The 24,758-nt window shown below is 40.1% G+C and overlaps 1 long non-coding RNA gene and 1 pseudogene across 3 annotated transcripts in view; both read right to left on the bottom strand.

Annotated features, from left to right (window-relative positions):
• The window catches only part of LOC102723803 (uncharacterized), a 182,624-nt gene that overhangs the window by 140,465 nt on the left and 17,401 nt on the right, over positions 1–24,758 (bottom strand). Inside the window, exons 4-6 of one of the 3 annotated variants that reach the window (XR_428436.4) lie at positions 13,254–13,353; positions 11,840–12,002; positions 7,244–7,280 (exon numbers count right to left, since the gene is read on the bottom strand). The exons of the other annotated variants lie outside the window; for them this stretch is intronic. This is a non-coding gene — a long non-coding RNA (uncharacterized LOC102723803). Of the gene's footprint in view, positions 1–7,243; positions 7,281–11,839; positions 12,003–13,253; positions 13,354–24,758 lie in introns of those variants that run through there. 3 annotated transcript variants of the gene reach the window in all.
• On the bottom strand, positions 6,474–6,590 carry RNA5SP279 (RNA, 5S ribosomal pseudogene 279; annotated as a pseudogene).

Genomic DNA, 24,758 nt, shown 5'->3' with positions numbered 1-24,758 from the left:
CTGACTGAGCAACCACCATGTCTCTTATGGACCAAGTCTCAAAATGTGTCATATGAACAACAGATTCGCCATACTTTCAAATTAGGACTGAGAGATACTTCAAAACTGGACTAGGGGCCATTGCCAGAAAGGAGTTAGAAGGGCTGCAGAGGGCAAGGTTGGCATCTACAGGACATGGGAGCTTGCCAGTGCCTGGCACAAGACCCAGTAATGAGTTGTGAGGACCCAAATGTGCCCACCTGCATGTAGTGTTTACTCTAGGCAATTCCTCAACTAGGAAGAGTGTTATTTTTTTTCTATTTTAAAATAGAATAGACCCTAAAGAGTGAAATAGAGAAGCAGTTCTCAACTATGATGTTTACGAGAATCACCTGGAGAGTTAATAAAGCTCCTAGAAGCCCCAGCTTTACCAAGTTCTCCAGGTGATTTTGATATACGCAGATGTCTAAGGACCGCTGATATAGCACTCTGGTTCTCAAATTTGCCTGCCCATTGAAATCATCTGGGGAGCTTTGAGAATTACTGATGCCAGGATCCCACCCAGGGCTTCTGATTTAATTGGCCTAGATGTAGCTCGGGCATTAGGATTTGTTAAAGATCCCAAAGGAAGCCAACACTGAAACCGCAGATTGAGAAGAATGGTCGCCCTCATCAAAGGAGAATAACTGATTCCTATATATTCAAAACTCCATTCAAATATAATCTGAAATCCTTATTCAGATTATATGTTATTCTCTATTGGCACTTGATATTACCATAGGTTTTTTGATTATCATCAATAATGTTTCCAGTAGTACCTGGAGCTCTGCCCTGACCCTATCCATAGGAGCTATTTTATGAATTACTTGAAAAGGATAGAAAAAGACCACTTGTTTGAACTGTCCTTTACTGCCCTCTGACAACTCAGGCTGATGGCAAGATTTACCCCCAGTCTTTTCTCCAATTTACCAGATACCAAACATTTACCCACAGAGCACAAAGCTTTTTACAAAATAGCAAGGCTGTCTCCTGCCTTCTTGGCATTCATTTTACTCTTGCTTAACTCTCCACTGCAAATTTCTAATAATGACCATATTGAGTAAGAATCTAGAGAAGCAGAAAGTGCTCCTGGTTTGTCTTTTAAAGCAAGTGGATGCCTCAACAACTGTGCAACTTCAGGCAAGGTCCCCAACCTCTCTGAATTTCATTTTCCTCATTTTTGTAAAATTGAAGCAATTATACTAACCAGCCATGCTATAATGATAAAATGAGATCTTGCAGTTACAGTGCTATGGCAGGGGTTGGCACACAGTAGGTGTTCAAATGTCTGTCACCCAGTAGGCACTGTCCATTGTTTACTTATTGCTGTTAACATTGCTATTATTCTACGTGGTACAAAAGAAAACACTGTCACAGATAAATCTTATCTACTCATTAAGGAACAAGGTTAAAAATTCTTTGCCTCACCTACAACATGGGAGAAAATTTTCGCAACCTACTCATCTGACAAAGGGCTAATATCCAGAATCTACAATGAACTCAAACAAATTTACAAGAAAAAAACAAACAACCCCATCAAAAAGTGGGCGAAGGACATGAACAGACACTTCTCAAAAGAAGACATTTATGCAGCCAAAAAACACATGAAGAAATGCTCATCATCACTGGCCATCAGAGAAATGCAAATCAAAACCACTATGAGACATCATCTCACACCAGTTAGAATGGCAATCATTAAAAAGTCAGGAAACAACAGGTGCTGGAGAGGATGCGGAGAAATAGGAACACTTTTACACTGTTGGTGGGACTGTAAACTAGTTCAACCATTGTGGAAGTCAGTGTGGCGATTCCTCAGGGATCTAGAACTAGAAATACCATTTGACCCAGCCATCCCATTACTGGGTATATACCCAAATGAGTATAAATCATGCTGCTATAAAGACACATGCACACGTATGTTTATTGTGGCACTATTCACAATAGCAAAGACTTGGAACCAACCCAAATGTCCAACAATGATAGACTGGATTAAGAAAATGTGGCACATATACACCATGGAATACTATGCAGCCATAAAAAATGATGAGTTCATATCCTTTGTAGGGACATGGATGAAATTGGAAACCATCATTCTCAGTAAACTATCGCAAGAACAAAAAACCAAACACCGCATATTCTCACTCATAGGTGGGAATTGAACAATGAGATCACATGGACACAGGAAGGGGAATATCACACTCTGGGGACTGTGGTGGGGTCGGGGGAGGGGGGAGGGATAGCATTGGGAGATATACCTAATGCTAGATGACACATTAGTGGGTGCAGCGCACCAGCATGGCACATGTATACATATGTAACTAACCTGCACAATGTGCACATGTACCCTAAAACTTAGAGTATAATAAATAAATAAATAAATAAATAAATAAATAAATAAATAAATAAAAAATTCTTTGCCTCCTCCGCTTTAGGAAATCTCAGATTATCTGGAGAGCAAAGATTCAGATCAGTGATCTACATGAGAGCCAAAAAAAAAAAAAAAATACTGAAATTAGCAACTATTGGTTTTGTCAACTTTGGGCCAAAGTACCATATAATGCTTTTCCCACATACATTATCAGAGCCAGAAATGTTCTTGGAGATCGTTGAAGCCTAATAAGTTTTCACAATAAAGAAATGGAGTCCCAGAGTTTAAACAGTGCTTTGGGCAGTTGGGTACTAAATAGTTACAGTCATAATTAGCACTCATGCCTGAGAGATAATATAGTAACACTTGATATTTATACATCTCTGAACAATTCACAAAGCACCTGATGCTAACATTTCTCCATAACCATGACCTGTAAAGCAGGATTTGTCAACCTTGGCACTATTGACATGCAGTGCTAGATATTCCTTGGTTGTGGGAGAGTCTTTGTCCATTTGTAGGATGTTTAGCAGCATCTGGGACCTTTACCCACTAGATGCCAGTAGCACACCTCTACACAGTTGTGATAGCCAAAAATATCTCCAGACACGGTCAAACATCCCCTGAGGGGCAAAACTGATTCCTACTTAAGAGCCACTGCTCTCAGTGTTAGCACAACTGGCACAAAACCAAGTTCAGAGAGGTGAACTTGCCCAAGGACACACAAGCTAGTAATTGGCAGGATTGGGGAGGGGATAGGTAGGACAAAAACAAACAAGCAACCCCAAACATATACACGGCCTAACCATTAGTCATGATTCTTCCACATTCCCATCTGCTGAGTGAAGTTGTCTCCTGTCATTCTTATCCCTCACTTGGAAGAAAAAAATAAATGTAAACAATAACTTGAAAAGCCTGTTGAGGCCAACTGTTTCAAACATGCTGTATGTGAAATATCAATATTTTTCATCACAAGATACAGAAAGTGTGAGTTTACTGTAATTATTTTCAGATGAGGCTATTTGAAGGTAAATAACCCACAAGATATTTTGTACACATCCTTGAGTTATTTTTGCCACAATGTCAGCGAGAAATAATTCAATTTTAGCACTGGAGTTACAAAAGTTCTTTCTAATATAAATGGCCCATAATTTCCCTGAGAAGTGATTACAAATATTTAGCTCAACTATTCAAATTAAAGTAGTCGGAAACTAACATCCAGTAGATTAAGGAACTAGTAGTAATGTGGATAAGAATGTTCAGGCTGAGGGAAAGCAGAAATCAGAGACCTGACTTTGTCAAGGTGAATGATGTTATCTTAAGTAAAAGCTAATACAGTCTGCCCACTGGAGATGGAAGAGGGTTCGGGTCACTTGCAGAGTGGCTTTGGATGTGACCCTTGGAATAGGGAGATATTTTTCCTCTGGGTTCCCTCCAGAAGGAGACATTTCCATACGGGTCACAGCCTTGTACTGTTAAGAAACTTTTCCTATCTTGTTTCTCACATTTCTCATCTATGCCTTATTATAGCAATTTCTGAAAAAGCAAAAAAGACGCCCGATAAGCAAGGCAGCGACTCTGCAGGCTTCCGAGTGTTCTTCCAGCAGGCAAAAGACAAAAAAAAAAAATAAAATTTAAAATAGAAAAGAGTAACCAACCTTTGACATAAGCAGGCCCAAAGAGAAGGGCAAATGAAATATCTCACCTCTCAAGCTTCGTAGGAAAGTAAAGACAAATTTGCATGTAAAGCCTGGGAAGGTGTCAAAATGGAGCACATCACCTTGGGAGAAACAAGTGCAGCAATGAAATCATTCAGGCTGAGGGGTGGTCAAGGGTGTACCAGAAACCTCAGAGGTCCAAATCAGGGGGCAAGTGGGAAAAGCTTGGGGCAGCCTTAACCTTTGGCCCAAAGCAAGATCCTTGGCCAGCTCTAAATGTTCCAGGTAGTGGCACCTTTGCTGATATTTACCTTTTTAGAACAAGGTTAGACTTCATAACCTCAGTGGCTTCATCATTTTCAATAAGAAAATTGATATCCAGAAATTTATGATTTGCCCAAAGTCACACAATTAGAAATCTATCTTAAAAACTTAGATTCCAAAACAGAGCTTTTACTAAAACACAACTTTCTCTACTAAGCCGTGCTCTTCACAGGGTCCTGATAAAATAGCAATCGTCCCCCCTGCATTGAAGAGTAAAGAGATAGCCAAGTACTTGGAGACACTGTGTTTTTATTTTGAATTTCGTGATTTCACTCGTTAGAGTAAGAATTATACTTACAAAAGTGAGAATTACAAAAGATATCCCCAGTTACCTTTTGGTTCTAGCAAAGAACCCCAAATCTGTAAGGACCTAAAAAGGCACAGAATTCATCCTATGTCAAATCTGTAGGGACCCAAATAACACAGAATTCATCCCATGTTATTCAATTGAAGACGCGTTAATGAAGAGCCCACACATAAAGGTGTGGGCAGGGTTATGGGAATATGTAACAGATGGGAAAATACCTAGAGCCTAGCAGCCATGTGCATCCCCAGGGACTACAGGGGCCAGGGGAGGAGGCAGAATGACTGGAGCCCCTTGAGAGGTGGGCCCTGTCATGGACAGCCATAGCTACTGCTTCCTCTCTATCTGCAGCTGGTGCCTCCCATTGGCCAAACCCACTCGGAAGCCAGAAGGCACAAGATCCCAGGTAATGCAGTCCACAGGGGGTCAGCCTCCGAAAACACACAGCCTGGCAAAGAACAGAGGAGAGAGGATCGTGGAGGGTGCAGGCTCAGCTGTCAGTGAAAATTAACCAGGACGGACCCTCCCCAAGGTAGTCAAACCCAGAGAGATCCCAGGCATGGGACTTGGGAAGGACTCTTCCCTAGTGGATTCTCAGATTCTGCAGGGGCTGCTGGGTGCAGAGCTAGAGCAGTGTTTTTGGTCTACTTAGGCAGACCTCAGATTGAATACTGGAAGTGAAAAAGAGTCAACAGAGAAGGTCAGGAAAGACATTTTCACTGAAAGAGAAATTAGCAGAAAGCCACGCACAGAGAGATGGCCCTTCCCAGAAGTAATCTACCCCCCAGTGTGATGTAGGGAATAACTGAAGAGATTAAGGTGCCTTATAGACATGGCCAGGAAGCAGCTTGCTAGAAATGATTTCACGTAAAATAAGCCCACCCTCAGAAATCATAATGAGTTATGATGAACAAGGGCAGAAATGAGGAAGGTGGAGCTGCAGGTATGAGTATAAAAAAAAAGGGTGGCTGGCACCAGAGACAAAGGAAAGGAGAGCTGGACATACAAGAGGTATTCCAGCTTCATTCCAAAAAGGTGTTCCTGTATATTATGAGGAAGGAAGGCAGGAATGCAGCTGCTAGCAGTTGGGTACCCAGTGTGTCCCAACTTCATATATTGATATCCAATGTAGTTTCATCTTCACAATATTGAGGTAGCTACTTTTGTCCTTGTTTTGCAGATAAAGACACAGAAATGGGAGATAGTGGTCAAGCGCATGGGCACTGAAGGCACATTTACTGGGTTCCAATCTTGGCTGTCTGACCTCAGGCAAGTTATTTAACCCTCTATGCCTAAGTTTCCTCAACTGTGAAATGACATTAATAACAGCATGTACCCCACAGCCTACTTGTGCATACTGAAAAATACGTGTAAGTTAATACTTTGCAAGGTGTCTAAACCTGATCAGTGTCTGATATATATGGTAGAAATTCAATAATGCTAGTTGTGGGTGTTATCTGCTGCCTAAATGTATGATGCTAATAAATGGATGAGCTGGGATTTGATTCAGGATTGTTCTAATGCCAAAACTCACATGCGTTCTTACCACTCTACCATGCTGGCACCCTGTTCCAAGTGGCACAGACGTCCCAAGAAAGAGGGGACTCTAGGAACTACACCTCATGGAATCTGCCTCAGATCTTCCAGCTCTCCCAGCTCCAATTTCATATTCCCCAAAGGAACTTGTAGATTTTTTATCCTGGTTCCTAGGACCCTCATTTATGAATAAGAGGGAGTTGATTGTCTGGTACCACCCAGGAAAGCTTAAAGTCATAGAAAAAAAAAAAGTGGCAAGTTTAGTACCTGGCTTGGAGCTGGTGCTCACCCAGTTTCTCTCATCTAAGTACTAACCAGGCCCAACCCTGCTTAGCTTCTGAGATCAGATAAGATTGGGCATGTTCAGGGTGGTAAGGCCATAGACTTAATCAATTTCCAATGGGTCAGAATCTGCCCAGTCTGCCTATGTACACACTCTCACCCTCTGCACATAGCTGCCGATGTGAGATGGAGTTGCAGCAAAAATGATAAAATCCAGGCATTATCCCCTGCCCTTTCAGAGCCTGTTCCGTCTCCTGGCTTCTCTGACCAAGGACATGTGTGGTCTTCATGCTGCCCTCTGTGGCATCATAAGAACCTGGACTCTTCAGCCCAGTGAGTCCCAGGCTCCAGGAGGACTCTATCTTTTACTCCATTCGGGACCAGAAATCTCAAGTCTGCCTTTTTATCATAAACCAAACTACAAGACTTGAAGTGCCCTGGATTTGCAAGTTGTACAATGAGAGTCTCTGATAAACTCTCATTGTAGCTATAGCATGGCCTCTGGACTGAATATCTGTATCTCCCCAAAACTCATGTGTTGAAGCCTAAATCTCCAGCGTGATAGTATTTGGAGGTAGAGCTTTTGGGAGGTAATTAGGTTATGAGGTTGGAGGCCTCACGAATGGAACTAGTGCCCTTTTATAAAAAGAGACAAAAAAAGAGTTGATCTATTTCTCTGTCGACCACATAAGGATACAACAAGAAAACAGTGGTCTGAAAACCAGGAAGAGAGCACTCACCAGTTACTGATCTGCTGGCACTTTGATCTTGGACTTCCCAGCCTCCAGAACTGTGATAAAAAAAAAAAAAAATTGTATCGTTTAAGCCACCCATGGTATTCTGTTATAACAGCTAGAACTGATTAAAAGAGCATTCAATTTCAGAAAAAAGGAAAGGGAGAAGGTGGAAAGAGATAAAGCATTAGCCCTAAGGGATCCATAATGAATGGTTTAGTCTATAGCTGATTTTTCTGGGTCTTCTCACAGCTCACCCCCTAGGTAGCTTCCTGGCATATAAGGCTACTGCTAAACTTGAGCCAATTTTCCTAGAGAGTAATTCATGACCATTAAAATTCTGGGCTTTCAATATTAGTAGACCATGAGATGGTTTGTCATAGCATCAAAAAGACATGAATTTTAACCCACTTACTAATTGCATGATAACTTGGGGAAGTTACTAACACCCCCAGCCTTCATTCTTTTGCATGTTAAACAGAAATGGTACCTCTTTTCCTCCAAGGTTGCTGAAAGTTTGGATAAGGTATTGCAGGCAAAGCACCTGCACACAGAGGCAGTTGCATGGTCACTCTGTCCCCACCCCTTTCCCCTTTCCTCTGCCAACAAGATGCAGCAGCCAATGAGAGCCAACTTTCTGAGACTGCCAGGCTCCTACTGTGGGTATGTTACCCACAGATAACCTTAACAAAGTCAATGCAATGTCAGTGGTGAATCACCTGGAAGTAAGAGCAAGAAATGCAAGTAGGAAATGACCAAGAAATCATTTTGTCCCACACATGCCTCTTTCTTCCCCAAGTCCTCTATTCTTCAGCACTTATTCACATCCTTATGCAGCCTTTATGTAAAGCTATTTCCGGTCACGAGTATTATCTCCCCAACTAGGATGCACTCTTGTAGAAGGCAGGCTGTCTTTCTTAATGCCTTGGCTTAGTGCTGTGGTCACGAAAAAGGAATGTTGAATGTAGGACATTCCAACTAACCTTGACAGTTTCAAGTTTACATCACATGTAGTGTTGGCCAATGTTACTTAAAAGAAAAAGAATTATTATTTATTATGCTTCTTGTACTTAGAAGAGTTGGATTTGTCCTAGGATATTTTCTAGAAGAGTCAAATAAATTATAGCTCAAGAGCTTTTCCACCCTCAGAATTAATGATAATTAATGATTCTTTGTCATTAATATGCCCCCTAAGCTCCAACAAATTTAAATTGATTAAAATTACAAAAATAATTTGCAAAAATAATTAAGTATATTTAATATTTAGTAGTGTTATCCAGGAAATGTTATCCTATTTGCATGAGGGATCCCTCTGCTGCTCAGATGGCCACAAGGAAGTGATTTGTCCTGCCAAGTCTCAGAAAATGGGATTCTACAATTATAGAGGACAGGCTGTGGTCAAAAGAAAAGACAACCCAGCAGAAAAAGGATGCAGCCTGGGACCAGAAAGTGGTTGGAGGGAGACAGCTGCAGGCCCTTGTTCTCAAAGGCCACCAAGGTTAACAAGTAAGGCAAACTGACAGCATTTTGCAGGACACACTGGAGAACATCAAAGACTTCTTTGTAAATCATCTGCTAAAGACTCCCCTTGGAGCTGCTTCAAAAGCAGAAACTCAGGAATAATGGTCTTAAAACCAATAACAGAGGGCTGTATCTTTTACTCTTTGGGACAAGAACTACACAGAGCATCTAAAAGAGCATCAGCAGAATCTGGGACAAGAAAAATGCCACAAGCCTAGGTGTCTTCATCCATTTTGTGCTGCTATAACCAAATACCTGAGACTGGGTAATTTATAAAGAACAGAAGCTTATTTTCTCACAGTTCTGGAGGCTGGGAAGTCCAAGATTAAGGTGCCAAGAGGTTTGGTGTCTGCTGAGGGCTGCTCTCTGCTTTCATAATGGTGCCTCATTGATGAATCCTATAGAGGGGAGAAATGCTATATCCCCACAGGGCAGATGATGGAAAGGCAAGCTAGCCAAACTTCCCCTTTTTAATAGGGCACCTAATCCCATTCATGAGGGAGGAGCCCTCATGGGCTAATCACCTCTTAAAACCTCACCTCTTAATATTATCACATTGACAACACCTGAATTTGGGAGGGGACACATTCAAGCCATAGCACTAGGGAGGTAACCATGGCTTTAAGCATGTTACTGGCTCCCCTTAGTGAAGAAGTGTATAGTTTGTACTCATTCCTTTAGCCATACATTATTTATTGCTCTCAAACCAGAGTGGAGGTTTGGATATCCTTCATAAAACTTTTTATAATAATGGTAATAACAGTAGCCTCTCTAATTTATAAGTGTTTCATATGAACCAGCTACAGTGGTAAGTGCATTGCATTATCTCATTTAATTCTCAGCACGACCCTAGGAGGTAGGCACTATCATGATTCCTATTTTTACAGATGGAGAAAGTGGAACTCAGGGAGCTTAAAGAGCTTTTCTAGCTCTCCCAGTTAAAAGGGTGCAGAATGAGGATTTGAACTCAGATGTACTCAATCTAGAGACAGTGAAACTGACTACAAGAGCAGAGGCTTCGGAACTTCAGTGAGGGTTATCTGAGGATCTTGTTCAAATTGTGGGCTCTCAGACCACACACAAAGAGTTACAGTTTGAATGGAACTGTGGTAGAGTCCTGGACCTCAGGATGACTCTGAGATGTGTGATCTTTTTTTTTCCTTTTTCTTTTTTTTTTTTTTTTTGAGGGAGGGTCTCACTCTGTCACCCTGGCTGGTGTGCAATGGCATGCTCAGCTCACTGCAGGCTTTGACCTCCTGAGCTCAAGTGACCCTCCCATTTCAGCCTCTCAAGTAGCTGGGACTACAGGCAGGCACAACCATGCTGGGCTACTTTTTGTATTTTCTGCAGAGACAGGGTTTCACCCTGTTGCTCAGGCTGGTCTTGAACTCCTGGGCTCAAAGGATTGGCCGGCCTCAGCCTCCCAAAGTGCTGGGATTACAGGCATGAGCCACCTCTCCCAGCCTTGCATGATCTTCCTAATGCCCATGGTCTGGAAGCACACTTTGCTGGATGCTTCATGTCATGATGCCTTCTTTCATAATTTTCAGAGACCCATGTTAAATATATCATTCCAAGTGCTGTGTATGAACCCCTGGAGCAATGGACTCAACCTATTATAGTGAAGGTCCAGAAGCCAGAATGAGCAGGTCAGCAACTGCTACTTCTAGGAGAATTTTCTTTGCTTGTTACTTGTTTCTGCTTGGGGTTGCACCATACAATAGTAGCATTTTCCCCTTTATTTCAAAAGGGAAGGCAGCTGAAGAGAATCACAGAAAAGGCAGCTACTGAAACCCCAAGAAGAATCCAGAAAACACAGAGTTCTACTCCAACTCACTGTGTTCCTGTTTACCAAGATGAATCTAAGCATTAAAAGTTTCAACTTAAAGACTTCAAGAGTCTCCACATCTACTAGGTGCATATTTTTTACACTTAGTAAAATGTGTTAATTGAAAGTCTAATAACTGGCAGAATTTAAGATAATTTTAAAATGTATAAGGCTCAGCAAATATGGCCAGTTCAGGAAATAATTTACATTTCACATAGGGACTATTTTACATTGTTGGGAACAGGTGTTTTGGTTTGGTTTGGTTGTTTTGTTTTGGCTAGGGAAGCTCACAAAAGATTATCCACTTTCCTAACAGAATTGTATTTCTTAGGAGATTTGTCATACCAGTGTTACCCCTGCTTTTATACTTCTAAAAAATTGATTTCTAAGTAAAGTCTATCTGGGATTTGCTATTGTCCCTGCTAATGCTTTTTATCAATGGCAAAAAATACAATTGATAAAACTAACTTGACTTTACTGAAATGACACATTTTTCTGACTTCCCTTGCAAAGAACATGGTACTTTTTCAAAATGTTTATCTACTATCTTCCCATCGCTAGTTTCGTAGCTCCACCAATTATTATTCACATTGAGTTAAACATGGGTTTATTAACGTTTCTAGAAAGGTGACAACTTTTACTTTGTCAATTTAAAAAGTTATGTTTCTTCATGTTGCATAATAAAGGTAATATAAAAGGCCACAGTTGTAAGCATTTCTCATCTGACATTCTCTGATTAGTGTAGCACAGTGTAGCCATTTCTGCATTGCTAGAATAAAATTTTTTTTAAATCTTGTCAGTACTGCTCTTCAAAAAGTGATACCGAATGACAGATGATAGCATTTTAAAAAGCCTTTTTCTCCTATTCATTCTGTAATATTTGGAGCCTATATTTTTACCATCACAGGCTACAATTTTCACTTTATTCACTTTGATAACCTCTGCCATCTCTCTGAGTTTAACATCATTCAATACAAAAGTCCAGACATGATCACAGAATCTGTATGTATTTAGAAATCCTCTGAAACTGATCCTGTTCCTGTTCATATCAGTGCAGATGCTGAATTTACAGCCTTCTCTAACTGAAGTAGAGCTTAGGGGTGATCTGTGATGACTGTATAAATGAACTCATCCAGGTCCTCCTGAAGATAGTTTCCTAACGTGTATTTCTGTATAACTGATAATGCTATGGCTTAAGAGGAAGAAGTTACTGATGTCCTGTGGAGAAGGCCGGTGCAACAGCAAGGACTCAAGAGGGGTACCTACTTTCCCCAACAGCTTCTTCAGCAGCCCCAGAAACTGGAGGAGAGCTGGGCTGATAACCTGGAAGTGCTCAAGGAACCCGGAAGTGGCACCACACTTGGGGGCAAGGAGGCCTCCACCTCCTTGCAAGCAAGGTAAAACAGTTTCTGTTCGATGTAATGTGATCCTAAACAAGAAAATCATAAGATAGTTCAACATTCCTTTTCACTTTTAAATTAGTAATAGTCATCTGTGGTAATGCAGTAAAATAATATCAAAGTCATTTCATATTTTATTTTCAGTTCTTCTCGTATAGGATCTAGGTTAAAGAAAAAGTCAGAATATGAAAACAAAAGTTATAGATCATTCTTCATTGTCTATATTTTCATCATGTGTAACTATTGAGAGTAAATATATCAATTTTTGTTAAATATTGGGTTTATTTCCAAAAATGCATCTGTCTACCAAATCTACAAAGTATTACTTCACATAATTCTTACTGGTTTTTCGGTTTATTTTTTGACTTGTATTTCTATATACTGCACAAGAGTTTGGTAACATTTTGGCTAATCAGACAGGAAAGGAAAATGGTAGATACAGCTTTTTATCACACAATTTCCCAGGCTAACAAATTGAATTTCTCAGTTTATTCTGACATGAACATTTTCAACAATGTAAGTCAGAAAGTTATGCATGGATGAGGAATACTGCAAACATATTCTCTACATTGTAGTCATGTCAGTATTCTTTTATGGTGGGAACTCATTAAAGATCGAAACACTCAATATAAATGCTGCAGGCACTTTTTTTATGAGAAAAAATAAACATAATTCTCAAATGGTAATTTTGCTGGATGAACAATTCCTTTAAGAGAATTAAGTAACAGTTAAATCCTGCCACATGGTTTGCTTTCCAAATATGACAACAGATAAATTATAATAAACTTCACAGGTCATTATTAGAAAGTGAAAAAAGAGTGTGCATTAGAGGCACTGAGCATCTAAATCTGTCAGCAAATATTCAGACCTTCAGTTTGCTCAGCTTCGTACTAATAATACAGTGTACTTGCTCAATCTCTGTGGAAACACTATTGGATTTGAAGTCAGAAGTCTCAGATTCGAATTCCAACCCACTTTGCCTGTCTGCTGCTGTTTCCTCCTGAATAAAATGAGAGGTTTGGACTAATCAGGCCCAGGGGGATGAAGGAAGGAGAGGACCATGGGAAACCACTGCTTCTCTGAAATCTGTTGTTGCTGGGTGGAGTGTAAATCCAGGTCTGCAGATTTTTCAAGAGAAGCCGGAAATCTAGATTTTAATATGATATCTCCTCATTTTTATCCATTGGCAACAAATTAAACTGTTTCAAAAACAGGAAAAAAAACACTGAGTAGGGGACCTCCATTTCTGACCAAAATGAAGTAACAAGGATCAGACTTACCTTCCCATTTCAAATAAAGAAAAAAAATAAAAAATCCACAAACTGCATAAAACCATGGCTTTCCAGGCACCGGACATCAATCAATGAAGGGCAGTAGTCTCTGAAAAATGGAAAATGAGGTGAGCCTTACAATTGCCCCAGCTTGAAAGAATGCTGAGCAAGTCAATGGTGAAAGGATAGTCTTTCTGGCAGGGTGTGGTGGTCCACACCTGTAATTGCAGCACTTTGGGAGGCCGAGGTGGGCAGACTACCAGAAGTCAGAAGTTTGAGAGCAGCCCGGCCAACATGGCAAAACCCTGTCTCTAGTAAAAATACAAAAATTAGCCAGGTATGGTGGCAGACACCTGTAATCCCAGCTACTCAGAAGGCCGAGGCAGGAGAATTGCTTGAACCCAGGAGGCGGAGGTTAGAGTGAGCCATGATCGCACCACTGCACTCCAGCCTGGGCGACAGAGTGAGACTGTCTCAAAAAAATAAAAAAATTGTTATTCACATGAAAAAAATGAACTTCTGTCAATACCTCAGACAACTGTTCAAAAATTAACTTAAAATAGATAGAGACTTTAATGTATTATAAAACCTAAATAATACAACTTCTGGAAGTAAACATAGGAAGAAACCTTTTTAATTACTATGACTGTGGAGGGACTCTCAAAATAATTATGCTGAATGAAAGAAGGCAGAGAGAAAAAAACACGTATTTTATGATTCCATTCACAGAAAAGTCTAGAAAATGCAAACAAATCTATAATGACAGAAATTAGATGAGCAGTTGCCTGGAGGGGCTGGAACAGGAAAGGAGATTGCAAAGGGGCATAAGGAAACTTTGATGGTGCTGAATATGTTAATTATCTTGATTGTGATGATGTTTTTACCCACTGTTAAAAGAAAAGCTTCAGACAATTTAATTTAACAGAGTTTAACTGAGCAAAGAATTGAGTAGCCCCCATAACCAGAATAGGTTCAGAATAACTCTGGCACTGTCAGTGTGGACAGAGAGGATTTATGGACAGAAACTAAAAGGGAGGCATGTTAACAGCCCGATTGGTTACAGCTCAGCATTTGCCTTATTTGAACATGGTTTGAATAGTTGGCCACCTTTGGCCAAAACTCCGTGATTGGTACAGGAGTAGGTTATAGTCTATTTCCGTATCTAGGTAGGTTACAGTTCACTATGTACACAGAAACCTTTAGGCCAAACTTAAAATACGTAAGGAAGCAGCTTTAGGATAAACAATTTAACATTGTGTATACCTTTATCCAAATAATGGATGTCACAGGTGTTTACCTTTATTGAAACATATCAAACTGTATGGTGTATGTGCAGTTTATTGTGTCAGTTACCCCTCAATAAAGCTGTTCAGCACACACACACACACGCGCACACACACACACACACACGCACACACACACACACACACTGAATGCCCAAAAATATATACATTGCAGGCAAATTCTGGCATGCTGGCTGCCAGGTTTCCATCTCTGTATTCAGTGGCATCTGGAGCCATTTGCAGTGATCTGTGATTCTTTGAAATTTATCCAAGGCTAAAGCTAAGATACAATTTCCATACAGAGTAAATGTAACTATAGAAAAGCATGCTAGAAAATATTTGCAGTTGAAAACTTAGATATATCAAATGTATGTATTAGCATATGTAATTACTGCATATTTATATAATGCTTGTGTAATCATTCATAAAATATTTAAAATAGATTGTTTTCAACAGATCCTTATTTCCTTACTATTTGGTAGAACATATAATTTTCTCAGTGCTCAAGGGGGGAAAAAGGTACAAATCTATTTCATGCTATATTCCAAAACAATGAAATCATGATGTCACTAGGAGTATTATAGAAGATATTCTAAGAACTCCTCCCTTTTCCAGCCATTCTGATACATAGAAGCACATAGAACCTACATATTATATGAGCAGCATTCACACAATCAATGGTTTAGGCACTTTGTTCATTCTATAGCAACATATGCATTATTTCCAGAGTGTTTCAAAAAATGCTTTGACTACACACATAACTATATCCACATCAACATACACAGATAAAGTCATATTAGAACATATAAACAGGGGTACACAAGAAATCTGTATGTACACATAATCATAATATAATGTCTAATCTTTGCATTAATACATATTATATATTATATAAAGAACACATTTGTCCATGGTTTCCCATTTTTCTTGTATAAATATATTTATGGAAATGTGAGTTTATTGTTGCTCATAAACATTTTTCCAGTTTTACACTGAAACAGCTCAAAGAACTTTGAAACAGAGGTGAATGGTTGTCTGGTAACCAAGTTGTCATTAGCCTCCCCACCAGTATCAATTTTCATTTGTCATCAGATAAGCCTAAAAGTGATGGGGTTGATATAACCCAGTTCTGCAGGTAAAAGGAGTACAGACGTATTTTGTGGCAGACTGTAACATGAAAAGGGGCCTGAGGAATGTCACTTGTTCTGTGTCAAAACAATACAATAAAGAAATCTATTGTCTATGGGTCACCCCCATTTTGGTCAGCTTAATACAGGCGGAGTCCCATAAACCACATTCTGAAATGTGGTCCTTTCGTGCAAAGAGGCACCGTTTGCAAGCTGCTAGCTTTCTTTTTCTTTCTTTTAATTGTGTTTTTTTTAAATGCTGGTTGCATTAGACATAGGACAAATTTCATAGCTCAAATTACAAGTAGAATAAGTGTCTTCTGTACCTCATTTATGAAATTCCAGACAAGTTCTTAATAGGAAAGATAAATAACACTGCTCCACATTCTCCTCTTTCTGCTTCCATTAATTAACACTGACTAACAAAGCCTCTCATTTTGTTTCGGAACAATACATTTGATATCTGACCACTTAAAAATTTTGATCACCACCTTTAGAATAGGTAATTAAGGAAAAGGTCATTTTCTTGGTTGAGGCACATTGAAGAAAACTGATCTAAGGATACTTGTGCTGCTAGGGCAAGTTTGAAGATCTTTCTAATTGAGCATTCTTCTGCAAATGCATTGCAGGTGGATTTCCGCCCCCTGCCCCTCAGTTCTTAAGGAGGAAAATTCATACTTAAAATACATGTATGATTAAAAATAAATATAGCATTGGATTAAAATTCAAAAGAAATAACTAAAACATTTATATACCAATAATCCCTGAGTGCTAAATGTAAATTAATAGGATTGTTAATCCAGGAAAGGTCCTAAAGTAGGGGATCTCTTTAACAAAGTAAAGAAATCTAACTTCAATAAACATTCCTTTTGCTAAAATGGCAGTAGGAATTTAATGAATGCTTTGATAAAGAAAATGCCTCCTGCCTCCTGAAACAATAAAAACAGCTAAAAATGATGTACCATTTATTATGTGCTAGGTGCCATTCAAAATATTCTTTGTGTATTAACTCATTCACTTCTCAAATCAAAGCTATGCGGTAGGCGCTATCCTTAGCCCAGTTTCATAGATAAGAAATCCAAAGCAGACAGCAGTTGGGGAAACTCACCCATCACACAGGTAATAAGTAACAAAGACAGGATTTGACCTGGCTGTCTGATTCCAAAATTGAAGTTGTTAAGCACCATGCCCTCCTGCTCCTTGAATCTACAGAGCACTTCCTTACTCACAAGACCCGCGTCCCCCACTAAATGACCACCTGTGGGACACACTGCTTGCACATGGTCAGTCAGGTCTCTTCCAAGCTGCCCTGATCTGTGGCACTATCCCACCACTCCGGGTCGGTCCATTTTCCCTACTGCAAGTTTTCTTTCAAAATGAAAAGTTTGTTATTCGTATCCAGTTACATTTACTGGTAAACAGGGCTGTAAGAGGATGTTTTGATGGGAAGAGGGCATCTAAGAAAAAACAGGACTCCTGGGGACGAGAAGTGGCAGCCCCAGTGGTAAAAGAAGAGAATTGGAAGGAGCGTGAAACGGACATCACTCAGGACCAGTCTAGCCGGATGTGGGATTTTCAGGGACTGATTTCTAGATGTTTAACACAACTACAGTTACTGATCTATTGATGCCATTCAGTCTTGTTCAATACTAATCTATCAAGGACCATAGTGAAACCAGGGGCAGAGTGGTGCATGGCACTCCTTCATTCAGCCTGGAAGAAGCTTAACATGATGCCATGTCCTCCTAAAATCTTGAGAGAGAAAGCAAGGTCTTCAAGAGGGCAGCCTAAAATTTCCACCACTGAGAGCCTAGGATGAGGAGAAGAATGCTCCCAGAAGACGGTATTGGCTGGGAAGTGAAAGATCAAGGTTGTCTACATGGGGTGCTGTTCTCTGACAGTGTCAGAGAGAGAGAGAGATTCTCCCCACAGAAGAGATCTAGAAGTGTTGGGATAATTTCTTTCTGTGCCAGATCTTTTTCCTTCCCTTCCCTGGATTTGGAAGTCTGGGTCTGTGGCAGAAAAGACCACAGGAATAAATACATAAAATCTTGAATTTGTCATTTTATCCTGACACCCATCACTGGAAAAAAAGTCATCCCCAACGGTTTGATACGCTGACAAAAGTATCTGAATGTCCACATATATCACACATTATAGCTTATGAAATAATACAGGAATTTTTGTAAACAGGCCTTTGAGTAGACTGTGTATGACCAGACATCTCCTTTAAAAAAAAATCAGAACGGCCTGACGCGGTGGCTCACGCCTGTAATCCCAGCACTTTGGGAGGCCGAGGTGGGTGGATCACGAGGGCAGGAGATCGAGACCATCCTGGCTAACACGGAGAAACCCCGTCTCTACTAAAAATACAAAAATTAGCCGGGCGCGGTGGCGGGCGCCTGTAGTCCCAGCTACTCCAGAGGCTGAGGCAGGAGAATGGCGTGAACCCGGGAGGCGGAGCTTGCAGTGAGCCGAGATCGGGCCAGTGCACTCCAGCCTGGGCGACAGAGCGAGACTCCTTCCCAAAAAAAAAAAAAAAATCAGAACTGTGAAAGTCCATTCATATAAAACTAGGCAAATAAGGACATTCTTAACATAGAATGCATATGTTGTGCTTAATTAAATGTCAGCCATATTTTCAATGCATCTTAGTTATACATATAAACATTTTACATGTTTTATTATGATGTTGTATTTATATAGATAGTTTTGCCATTTATAATTTTGGGATGCTTCTCTGACTTTTATAATTATGTTAGGAAATGTCAACAGTTGAATTCTGAAACAAAAATATTGCATAATCCTCCTTCAAGGTTCTAGATCAGTTTAAAAAGAATCAACACCGCAAAGTGAAATGTTGAAACCTTTCGTTTTTGAAGCTACTGATGTTTATGAATAAGAATGTTCTCAATGCCATGAAACCAAAACACACAGAAAGCCTTGATTTTAAAAGCCAATAACTTTGATTTCAAATTTTTGTGCTCAGAAAAAAAGGCTTTCTTGATGTCAGTGAAATCAATGTCTCCTCAAAGAGTAAAAGTTAAAATTGGATTTTATAAAGAAATTTGTACCAGTAAAATACTCCAAACCCTCCTTTAGGATGTCATGCTCGTTTTGTATCAGCTTTGGCATTGACTTCCTTCTCCAAAGTCCCATTCCTCTGTTCAGCTGCTTGCCACTCTGTTTCCAGCCATCTATCCTAAGCCACTTCCAACTGCCCTCTGCCACATGCCCCTGTATCATCAAACATTCGGGGTTGTTTGGGGTCACTCACCCTCTAGTTGGTGTGATCCTTGAATCTTGCCTTTCATATCTGAGTGGAAAGATGAAGAATGGCAGGTTAAGCCAGCCTCCACAGATGACAGAATCTAGCCCAACTTTTACGACTCCTGGGGTGGAACAGGCCCAGGGTACAGCAGACACAGATGTGAAATGTTCCTCATTAAAAGAGCAGTTGTTAGAGCATTTATTATGACGACGTTGGCAGACCCCAGACACACTGGGCATCCAAGAAGGTGATAGCAAAAGGACTCTCTGGACAGAGGTCACCTCCTTTCCTCCCTTCAGCATCTGGCCCGTCATCTGTCCAAGCTGCCCTGGAAGTGCAGGCAGCTCATGACAGCAGTGGGAAGAAGGTAATGTCTGACGGGGCTTCCAGCATATGCCACGAGGCATGGGAGCTGGAGGGAGGCAGTTGACCCTTTCCCAGCCTTAGAGCATCTCCTCTCCAAAACCTCCAGGGAGAAGCCATGAAGGTAGCTTGCTTCCTGAGTAAACAGAAATTCTTCTGGAAAAGTGTGCTTAGGAAAGGCAAGGCCTCCATTTAAAATCTTCCGACAGGGTTACACATGTTTGTTTATAACCAGGCAAGTGCTGATTAATTGCATAATATTCAGCTCTTAGTTGGTGCTGCCTCTCAGGCTTTAGCCTGCCTGACCCAACAGCTGTTTAACTTGGCTCCAGGCATTTATGACTTTATTTTGAACAAATCTTTAACATTTTCATTTGATTTTTCCCGACTTGACTATGCAACTCAAAATTTGTTTTAAATTTTCCGGTCTCTTTGTTAACACCTCCTCCCCACCCCGTTTTCTCCTTCTCCTTCTTAGAGCTGTAGCTTTGGAATTTGAGTTGGTTTTCTTTAGGCAGCAACAGATTTTGAGATGCGAAACAAAGGAAGTTTGCAGGAGGGGAAGGGGGTAAAGCAGAGAAGGGGAAGGTCACTTTACTAATTCTTTGGATCCCCTTGGAACAAGCTAGAAACTAATACTATATAAATATTGAGGTGCACAGTAGAGTCAAAGTATTCAATAAACATTTACAGTGAATTGAGGCATTAGGAAAGGCTTAGACCCCGCCTGAATTCCCATGAAATTTGTAAATATTTCTTTCATTTGTTCTCCATTTACAATTAGTTGCGGTCAAACTGATCAAAGACAGAAGAGGCCTGTTGCATGTGAACCCGCATCCTTCACAATGACATCCACAAAGCAGAATGAAATATGGAATATCGGGTTTCCAAGGATGTATGAACTTGTAAAAAATCTGAAAGAATAGGAGGTTTTTCACACTGAGTAATGTGAAACATTTGGTGCGGATTGTAGGCCTCTGAAGAGGAAAAGAGAGAGCCAAAATCCATCAGGCTATAAAACAGAAGCAGGCCAAGCAAAAACAAGCCTCTTCCCTGGGCATCCAGTGATTTAGCTATCACAGGCTCTCTGCCCTCCAGAGGTCCCAGCAAAGAAGCCCCTTCAGCAGGAGAGAGAGGAGGCACCAGGGCCCCCTCTGGGATGATGGTTTTCCAGTGGTCCCTGCTCAGCTCCACTCCTCCTCCCTCTTCTTCTCTGGGTTTCTGGATTGTTGAATTACTGCTCCCCCACCCCAACCAAACACACACATGCCCCTTTCAATTAATGCGTTTACAAACAATTTCCAACCAGACAGGTGCTGAAGTTAATTGGGAAAGTACTTGGGTAGGATCTCTCCATTTTTAACTGTTCTGGCTCACTCTCCTCTGTCTCTGTCTCTGTCTCTGTCTCTCTCTCTCTCTCTCTCTCTCTCTCTCTCTCGCACTCTTTTGCAGATCAGCTCCTTTCACTGTTGGCTGGGGCTGGGATCTCCTTTGTGACTAATACAGGGTGTTTTAATTGCTTCCTATGCTTTTCCCAGCTGTCGGGCCATAATAAGGTCTGAGGTGGGGACATGGGGCCATAAGTTTACATTCTTTCACCTCCAGAAATTCATAAGGCCACGAGGCAATGTCTCCTCCTTATTAGAAACCTGAGCGGCCACTACTGCTGCTAGCATAATAAAGGACAACACAGTAATTCACAAAATTTTCAGAAGGAAATAAGCAAGGGTTATCCACCAAAGATTTCAGAAGCAGCATTTGCACCTCTCTTTAGAAAACACAAACAATCCTTCTCTCCTCCCACTACTCACTCCTGCCCTCACCCAAGGGATCTGCCTGCAGCCTCCTCTCCTCCCCTGATTTTTTAGGTGGATATAATTTGTTCAAAGTATATACTAGCACCAAAACACTAGGAAGGAGAGAAATGCTAAAATCCACTATATTTTAGGAAACTGGGGAAAGGTTCATTGGGAGGATTACAAATCACAGGGGATTAAGCAGGGGTAAACAAACAATAAATAAAACAGTCTTCATGAAAACTCAAGTCTCCCACACCCCATCACAAACACACACACCCTCCAGGTCTTCACCCTAATTTACGCCAAACGATTAGAGGAAGAACCGGTAGCCTGTACAAACAGCAGATGATCTTAGGAGGAGAGGGAAAGGTCACCTTTGAACTGAAAGCCACTGTGCTTTCACAGACACTGTGTGACACCAAGCTCGTCTTTCAGAGAGAGCTTTCCAAACCTCTGGATAGGAGCTTCCCTGGGCTCCTGCAGCTGAACTGAAGGGTGTTCCCTTGAGCTCAGGAGAACTGATATAAAACAATATGCAGTGCAGAAGGGTGAAACCATGACATTCATGGAATCCAAATGGAGCAAAAACCATAATTTGACCTTGGATGGGGGCCTTCAGCTTAGAAAAACTGAATCATCCCAAATCTGTCAGAATTTATTGGGCGTGGCAAAAGAAGAACAACTTTAAAGAGTGTTCCAAATAGTCTCCAAAGATTTCATGAAACAAGTAGCAATACCCAAGTCATATTTCAGCAATTTGGTCACAAATAACTTGAATGTCACGAGTTAGGTGTGTTTTCAAATGAATGTGAGTTGATCATTTTAAGAGAAGTGCAACCAAAGGAAAATCACAATTGGAGACTTAGCTAAATTTGGCTCAACTAAGTTAGCTTGCTCAGATGCACACCCTTTGCTAGGATGTCGGTGATTACAGGTTCACTGAGCAATACCATCCAGCCCCACACAAAGGAGAAAAGTTGCTGCAATATTTCTTAAAATGGACACCCATCATCCATTCCAAGAAATCACATATTACCATACCCCAGAAGCCACTTATACCTCACTGACTGCAACCCATTCCTCTTCTTTACAGGTAACCACTATATTGAATTCTGATAATTCATAGTGTTTACCATCTGTGCACGTATCCCTAAACAACATGTAATTTAACTGTCTATATTAGAACTTTAAAATTATGGAATTATAGCAATATGTTCTTTTTAGTGACTTGCTTTTTGTATTCAATATTATGTTTGTGAAATTGGTCCCTGTTGATGCACATAAAGAATGTTTCATATTTATGGCTGTATAGTATTCCAGCATATGAGTATACATCTTTCTATTGATGAACAACTATATAAATATATATGTTACATATTTTGTTCATAATTTTAAAGTGTCATTATGAATATCTGTGTCTCACATGCAAGATTCCCTCTATAGTAGATATCCTGTCATGGAATTGGTAGGTCACAGGGTATGCTCATAATTCAGTGCTGCCAAAGTCATTTCCAAAATGGTATACCAGTTTCTACACCCAAGAGCAGTGGACGAGAATTTCTGTATCTGCAGGTCCTAGTTACGACTTGGTATTGTCAAAGAGTTGAGTATAAAATAGTAGGTTTCAATTTGCATTTCCCTGACTAGTAATGAAATTGACCATTGACTCATTCTTCATGTGAAATTGATCCTTTCAAATTTCTCTTTAATTCATTTGCCCATTTTTCTATAATGTTGCTTTTTTTCTTATTGATTAGTAGGAATTTGTATCTTCTGGATAATATATTCACTCAATGTATGGTGTCTTTTAATGAAAGTAAATTCTTAATTTGATGTAATTTAAGGAATAGAAATTGAAATTGTAAACTAATTTCATCAATATGTCCCTTCATGGGTTATTATTTGTGTCTTGTGTCCTTCTCTAGCATAATATCACAATAATTCTCTCATATTAATTTTATAGTCTTGCCTTTTTCACATTAGGGTCTTTGATGTACCTGAAATTAATTGTTAAATATTATGTGAAGTAGGAGTCAAATTTCATTTATTTTCTAAATGGGTAACCAATTGTCTCCACATGATTTATTAAAAACATATACTTTTGCTTTCACTTTGCCAAATAATCATAATAAATTCCATGTATTCATGGGTCCATTTATGATCTCTCTATTCTATTCATGTGGTCTATTTCCTACCCGTATGCCAATATACCTACTGGGTAGGGCAAGTCAGAGGGAAAAAAATGTAGTACCTTCATAGGAGCAATAGCAAGACTGACAGCTGAGCTGAAAGAAATACTGGAATCAAAGAAATAAGAAAATGTACCCAGATATGGTTTTTTTCTCATTTTTTCTGTTTGGGGATTATGGCAATTCTTGAACCTGTGGCTTGAGGCCTTTCATCTATTTTAGAAAATTCTCAGCTGTTACTTCTCCAAATACGGCTTCTGCCACATTCTCCCTCACCAACTTTTGTTAGTCGTTTTCACTCTGCCTCATATGCCTCTTATGCTCTTTCTATAGTCGCCCATGTCCATCCTTTATCATTTCAGGCTTCAGTAGAGATATTGTATTCTGATCTATCTTCCAGTTTATTCATTCTCTCATCTGCTGTGTATACTCGTTAAATCCTTCCATTGGTTGTTAAATTTAGTATTGCATTTGTCCATTTTAGAATTTCCATTCGGCTCTTTTTTCCTATTCTTCGCCAATGTCTTCCATATTTTATTTTAGCTCTTTTAATATGCTGATCTCAGTTATTTTAAACTCTATATCTGTTAACTCTAATAACTGAATCTCTCTGTTCAGTATGCTTGTATTGTATCTTTTTTCTCTTGTTTTTTGATTAGGTCTTAGTGATATGGTTCAGCTGCGTCCCCACCCAAATCTCATTTTGAATTGTAGTTCCCATAATCCCCATGTGTTATGGGAGAGACCTGGTGGGAGGTAATTAAATCATGGGGGTGGTTTTCCCCATGCTATTCTCGTGATAGTAAGTTTTCATGAGATCTGATGGTTTCATAAGGAGCTTTCCCCTTTGCTCAGTTCTCATTCTTCTCCTTCCTGCCACCATGTGAAGAAGGACGTGTTTGCTTCCTCTTCTGCCATGATTGTAATTTTCCTGAGGCCTTTTCAGCCATGCTGAGCTGTGAGTCAATTAAATCTCTTTCCTTTATAAATTACCCAGTCTCAAGTACGTCTTTATTAGCAGTGTAAGAATGGGCTAATACACTTATATTTTTGTATACCCAATTATTTTTGATAGCATACCAGACATTTCGTAGGACAAATTATAGAAGCAATATGCTACTCTGAATGATGTTGTTATTCTTCAGACAGTTAGGGTGGGAGCAAATCACCTTAATCCAATAAAAATTAGGCTGTTTTGAGCTCTAGTCCTGTGAGGATTTGACTTGCTCAGGTTCACTCTTACTCCTAGCATATAATCCTTTAGGGTTCCAACTGAAAGCCTGGGGTGTTTATCAGAGCACCTCCTTATTAATGGGCCTTGACCTACTCCTTTTGTCACTCCAGTCCTGTTAGAGTGCTGAAAGCTCTGGCCAGCTTCTGGATCTCTCAGTCATTGCTTTTGATTTCAGAATCTGCATTTACCTCAAGATGAAAAGCAACCTCCAAATGCTAAACTCACTTCTCTTGTAGCTTCCCTCTTAT

Source organism: Homo sapiens, chromosome 9 (assembly GCF_000001405.40).
Source record: "Homo sapiens chromosome 9, GRCh38.p14 Primary Assembly".
NCBI classification, from domain to species: Eukaryota; Metazoa; Chordata; class Mammalia; order Primates; family Hominidae; genus Homo; species Homo sapiens.
This window is presented reverse-complemented; position numbering and strand designations above follow the sequence as displayed.